Raw genomic sequence first — 6,078 nt, forward strand, 5'->3', positions numbered from 1 at the left:
GCCTGTATTAAGTGTCCTTGAAAGAGGGCAGGGTTTTCATCTTTTTCCTTTGTGACTTCTTTGAGCTTTTCACAGTCAACAGGATTTTTAATACATTGTCTCATTCCTGCCAGGAGGCACTGGACCATGTAGTCTCTATTGTTTTATTCTTCTGGACCTGCTGTAATCTCAATCTGAGTCCTGGGAGGGAACAGCAAGAGCTCCCACTTCACGGGTAGCAGGCTGGTCAGTGTCCCCGCTATCTGAGTATCCATGATGGGCTAGCCAGATTCCCTGTTTTTAATCTGGAATACAACAAGTAGAAAGAACAACTTGTATATCATTCCTAGTTAAGTCAAAGGCAAAAGTTAGAGCCCGGGGGCCTCAGTAATACACTGGGATCCTCTGAATACTGTCTGAGTTTCTGCTTGCGTTGGGTTAGAACATTTATTGAGAATGGAACATGTACTCTGATAGTCTCTTCTCCATTGGGGAATTCCCAGAAGGGGAGCCATTTCTCTGTTCCTGGATGGTATGAAGTCCCACTATGTGTCACTCCAGCTGGGTTAGTCCCAGTTGAACTTGGCAAAGGAGGATAGAGATGAGCATAAGCGGGAGGTGAAACGGGATTAGATTCTACAGAAGACTCTGATAGCATAGGGGATGCTGGGGACTCGGAAGGAGGTGTGGGCCTCTGAGAACCCCTGTCTGGAGCTGGAGTTGGGCCATGGGGCCTAGTATCCCTTCTCCTTAAAAAAAAGAGGATCTTCTAATGGGTCTGGGTGGCTTTCTGGCTTACTGGGTTTTAGCCCACAGATGCTGCATAGAACTGGGTTCTGTTTTCAGGCCATAAAGGCCTGTAATAGGGTACCTTAGACCACTTTCCCTAATTTCTATAGAAAAGATCTAGCTATAGGTTGGTGTTGAAGTTCATGGTTTCATTCTCCAGCCATTTTTCATTGTCTGCTAACTTGTACCCAGGCCAAACAGTGTTATAAAAAAAGATAAGTTTTTTCTTTTTTTTTTTTTTTTAGCTCATCTAGCCAAAAGATGTTCTAGTTTTTAAATATACATCCCAGGGGTGTTTCAGTGAGAGTAGAAGCGGTGGCTCCCGTAGTGCTGAAAGAATCCCACGATGACAGAAACATATACTAACGTCTAGGAGGTCATGGGCGTACCCATGAGCCAACATGGACCACAATGGGTTGAGGGTGCCCCTTGAACCTCAATTAAATCAAGGCCCTAGGAGGTCACTGGCATTTTCCATGCACCGTCCTAGGTCTCACTGGCGCTGGAAGTCTTTAGACCTGACCATAGTGGCCCCCATTGCCGGCTGGGGGCCCCAGATGTCTCTCTTCCAAGCCTTTCCTTCCCTACGTCACTGGTTTGCCATTTGTGATGCCTAATTATAATACCTGGAATGCCGGGATACAATCCCCACAAAAGGGCTTCCTCGTGACTGTGCATCTTTTGTTCAGCAAATAAAGCCTGTTGAAAGACAATCTCAAGGAGTTTGAAAATGTCCAACAATGATAGACTGGATTAAGAAAATGTGGCACATATACACCATGGAATACTATGCAGCCATAAAAAATGATGAGTTCATGTCCTTTGTAGGGACATGGATGAAACTGGAAATCATCATTCTCAGTAAACTATCGCAAGAACAAAAAACCAAACACCGCATATTCTCACTCATAGGTGGGAATTGAACAATGAGATCACATGGACACAGGAAGGGGAATATCACACTCTGGGGGCTGTTGTGGGGTGGGGGTAGGGGGGAGGGATAGCATTGGGAGATATACCTAATGCTAGATGACGAGTTAGTGGGTGCAGGCACCAGCATGGCACATGTATACATATGTAACTAACCTGCACAATGTGCACATGTACCCTAAAACTTAAAGTATAATTAAAAAAAAAAAAGAAAAAAAAAGAAAATGCATAAAGCCTAGAGGGATGGGGTGGTTTTAACGTGTCCCTCAGAACAGAAAATATTGTAAACAGAAAAACTGAGTAGAAAATAAATCAAAATAGCCACTAGGTGGCGGGCGAGTATTGCTGGAGAGGCAGCAAACGAGCTGAGTCTGAAATGAGGCCAGAAAGATGTGAAACTAAGCAAGAAAATAACCCGAATATTTAATGTTGAGAGCAACCCATGGTGCCATGTGGTTAGTATAAATAGCACAGAAGCTGCAGCCAAAAGGAGAGCAGCGCATATATTCACAGAAAGAATATAGGTGACTTAAAACTTCCCCGGCAGAACTTCACTGAAACAGCTCTGGAAAGAGCGGTGACAGTTAACCAGGTAATCTACTCATCTCGGGGGAAGGGAAACTGAAGTCAATGAAGCGGAAAAACCTTTCTCTGTGTCATGGTACCATAAATGTTGACAGCTGTTGTGAGAGACCTCAGTTCTTCTTTTTGTAGTTTGAAACAATTTAAATAAGAGACACACAGCAAAGGAGACGTAGCATAATTTATTGTAAAAGGAAAAAGAAAATATTTTGAAAGTTAAGTGCAGAATAGACAGTATATCCAAAAGAGAGCAAGTTTAGGGCAGGCTGCTCATAAGGACGAGACAGTGCTAAATATTGCTGGAGAAACTCCCTTTATGGAAGTTTTACATGATTCATAAGGAGGTGGGAAGAGGTGCCACTGGTAAGCACGTTTTGGGTGGTCTTTGGGGTGCACATGCGCAGAAGCTGTAGATGCTTGTTTATATGTCACATGTTCCATTAGCATCTTAAATCTCTACCTAGGGATGTGTTTTTTTTTTTTATTATAATGAGCAAAGGGTCAGTGTGAGGACAGGTAAAATCAATGTGTGCATGATCTCAACAGGGGAAAGTTTCTACTGAAGATAGCTTTCTTTGGGTGAGCTCAATTACAATGTGAATGCTGAGGCTGATTGTGTTGATTGTACAGTCACCACGGTTGTTGTGTCCAAAGGACATGGTCACTTCCTTGGCAACCTATCCTACTCAGTATGAGCTCCCAGAGAATAATTTTGAAGAACCAGCAGAGAAAAAGTAAATGAAACAATAGTGACTAAAAATTTTCTAAACTGAAGAAATAAGCATAACTCTTGGATTGAGAGTATACTCTGAATAATTTGCAGGCTAATTAAAAATAAATTCATTCCTTAACACACAAGGATGAAAGTGTAGGACATTCAGAATAAAGAGAAAATCTTAGAAGTTACCAGGGAGGCAAAAAAGGAAAATTTCTGATAGGTGATAGTAATTAGTAACAGAAAATTTCTCATGGAGGAATAGAAGCCAGGAAACAAAGTAAGAATATCTTCAGAATGTAAACTTAGAATAAACTAAGTTGGCCAGGCGCAGTGGCTCACGCCTTGTAATCCCAGCACTTTGGGAGGCTGAGGTGGGCAAATCACTTGAGGTCCAGAGTTCGAGACCAACCTGGCCAACATGGTGAAACCCCATCTGTACCCAAAATACAAAAATCAGCTGGGCATGGTGGCGCACCCTGTAATCCCAGCTACTTGGGTAGCTGGAGCATGAGAATTGCTTGAACCCAGGAGGCAGAGGTTGTAGTGAGCTGAGTTGGTGCCACTGCACTCCAGCCTGGGTGACAGAGCGAGCCCCTGTCTCAAAAAACAAAACAAAACAGAATTAACTAAGTTGTCGAAAAGTGTTTACTTAGAATTTTATACCCAGTTATATAACCATTCAAAAGTGAGCTTACAATCAGGACATTTTTCAGACTATACAATTATAAGAATAATATAAAATTCTAACACTCTTAGTAGAAACACAACCTCTCAGAGAAAAGGATGGGCTATAAGAAGCAAAGGTGAGCAAAGAAAGTGATAATTTTGATAAATTTAATTAATTTGGAAAGATAGTAATAACTATTTTTTGTAAAAAATTGTAAAAAAAAATGACAAAGCAAATGCAGGGTTTTATTGGGCAATTAAAGTATGCTAAAGTCTTTATCATATTCTTAAGGAAGAGAGACATTCTAAATAACTGTATATTGTATTAGAGAAATTCATAATTATTTATGTTGAAAATTCAGCACAATGATGAAAAGAACAGAAATTGAATCTACAACATCAATACCAGTAGAGCAAAAGATAAGGGGATTTAAAACAGTTTTCATTTTAATAGAAGGTAGCAAAGAAGAGTAAAAATGAAGCAAAGAAAAATGAGAAATGGAAATCCAGACCTCTGAGAAGGAGCACTGCTCAGCTGATAGTGGGATCTTTGAGCTTGGGATGGGGATGAGAAGAGAAAATAGAGCTGGTTCTGCAAGCAAACTGGATCCAGATACTTCAGAAAGGAACTACTGCCACTATGGTGAGGAAGTATTGTTGAAAAAACGTTCACAGGAACAGAAAGCTGACAGGAAGTAGATAGAAAGTCATAGGATGCAAGTTGGAAGAAAGAAATCCCTTTTTCCCTTCCAGATTTGTAGACCTTCCCACGTACCCTTATGGACAGAGTCAAACATGGAGCTGTTGGCAAAGCAGAAATGTGGTCTGCAGAGTTTGAGCCCCAGTGTCACAAAGCAGAGTGTAAAAGGGTGAGTTTCAAGCTAATAGATAATAACTCAACAACTGGCACACATATTTCTTCATTCTGCTTTTCCAGCACTGTTCAATAAATTATTATCTTGCCCCTGTGTTTTTTTTTAAGGTAAATAACAGCTTACAAGCAGAAGTCACGAAGATCTTACTGAAAATAACCATAACATAATCTTTCATCTAAAGACTTTCCTGGCTCCTCCTGTATAGTGCTTTACTTTGCTGAACTTGCATACACACCAGGTTAATTTATAGTTGGAGAAAAGCCTTATAACTCTTAAAGCCCCCTAACTCACTCTCCAGCTTCCAAGGACACAGGGGTTATGTCAACATGCTGGGATGCTATAGGGACATTAAAATGACAAACGTGCTAACTAATGTCAATATATGGACATGGTAATACAAAATTTAAAAATTAAAAAAAAAAATCCCAGAAGACAACATCCTAGGGGTACTTATATATAACAATGTAAAGTTTATAGATGTACATGAAAAGATTGGAAGTAAAATTGGAATAATGTGAATTAAATTGAAATAAGTCATTGTACCTCAATGTTCCATTTTTTCTTTCTATAAAATTGTGCAAGTTCATAATTGTTTTTTTAAAGAAAAAATGAGAAAATTTGCTCATTTGTGTTTCCCAAACTGCTTCTCTATTAGATCTGTGTCCATGCCAATGGTTTTTTTTTTTTGTATCTTCTTTGAACAAATAAAGTAATGTTGGTTTTGTCTGACCTATAACCCCAGCTTTTTAAACACTTTATGCTTTTACAGCTGTTTAGTATAATATCATAGACTGAGTAGAGTTTGCCCTCTGAATTAATTTTCAAAATAAGATCAATATGTACAATTAAAGAAAATCACTATAAAAACTATACTATCTATCATACAACATATCGTTGGCTCTCTTGGTTTTTAAAAGTAGTAACAGTGCCTGACTTTGTCCTGCTTTGTGCAGAATGAGACATGATGAAAGTATTTTGTGTGCTGACAATAAAACACAGTGGAGAGGAAAAGGAAAAAGCTGCTCCTGTGAAAATGCTTTCCTTCAATAGGAAACTCTTCGTTCCTGGTTGAAGAGGCACGGAGAAAACACAGCCATGAAAACACAGTTCTTCTTCTAGTCACAAACATGCCTTTGGCACTGATCAAGGCACCCCCCAAGGATGAGGGCTGGGGCAAAGGACTATTAAACTAGAATGTTCTCAATTTTTCTTTTACTGTCTCAAGGCCATCTAGTAAATGTTCTTGCAACTACACCCTCTTTCTCCTCATCATTTCTGTTCTTCTCTTTATTTTTTCCGTCCATCTTAAAGGAAGGTTATTCTAAAAGTTCAATTCAATATCACCACTATATATAAGATAATTACCATGTGAAAGATATCCCAAAATCTCTAAAAAAATTTATTTTCCCCTTTAAGCTAGCTTGAGTGTAGCCAATGACATCCTAACATACATGCTTATTTCTTGTAAAACAAAGTTCAAACTCGTAAGAACTGTGTTCAGAGCACTCCATAATCTGGCCTTCATTCACGTTCTGAGGC

The 6,078-nt window shown here is 39.5% G+C and overlaps 1 long non-coding RNA gene across 1 annotated transcript; it reads left to right on the top strand.

Moving 5' to 3' along the window:
- Positions 1–2,188: 2,188 nt before the first annotated feature.
- Positions 2,189–5,428, top strand: LOC107986888 (uncharacterized). Its single transcript, XR_001745713.3, has 3 exons — positions 2,189–2,290; positions 4,418–4,533; positions 4,647–5,428. It is a non-coding gene; the product is annotated as an uncharacterized LOC107986888 (long non-coding RNA).
- The last annotated feature ends 650 nt before the right edge of the window (positions 5,429–6,078 follow it).

Source organism: Homo sapiens, chromosome 8, assembly GCF_000001405.40.
Source record: "Homo sapiens chromosome 8, GRCh38.p14 Primary Assembly".
Taxonomy (NCBI): domain Eukaryota; kingdom Metazoa; phylum Chordata; class Mammalia; order Primates; family Hominidae; genus Homo; species Homo sapiens.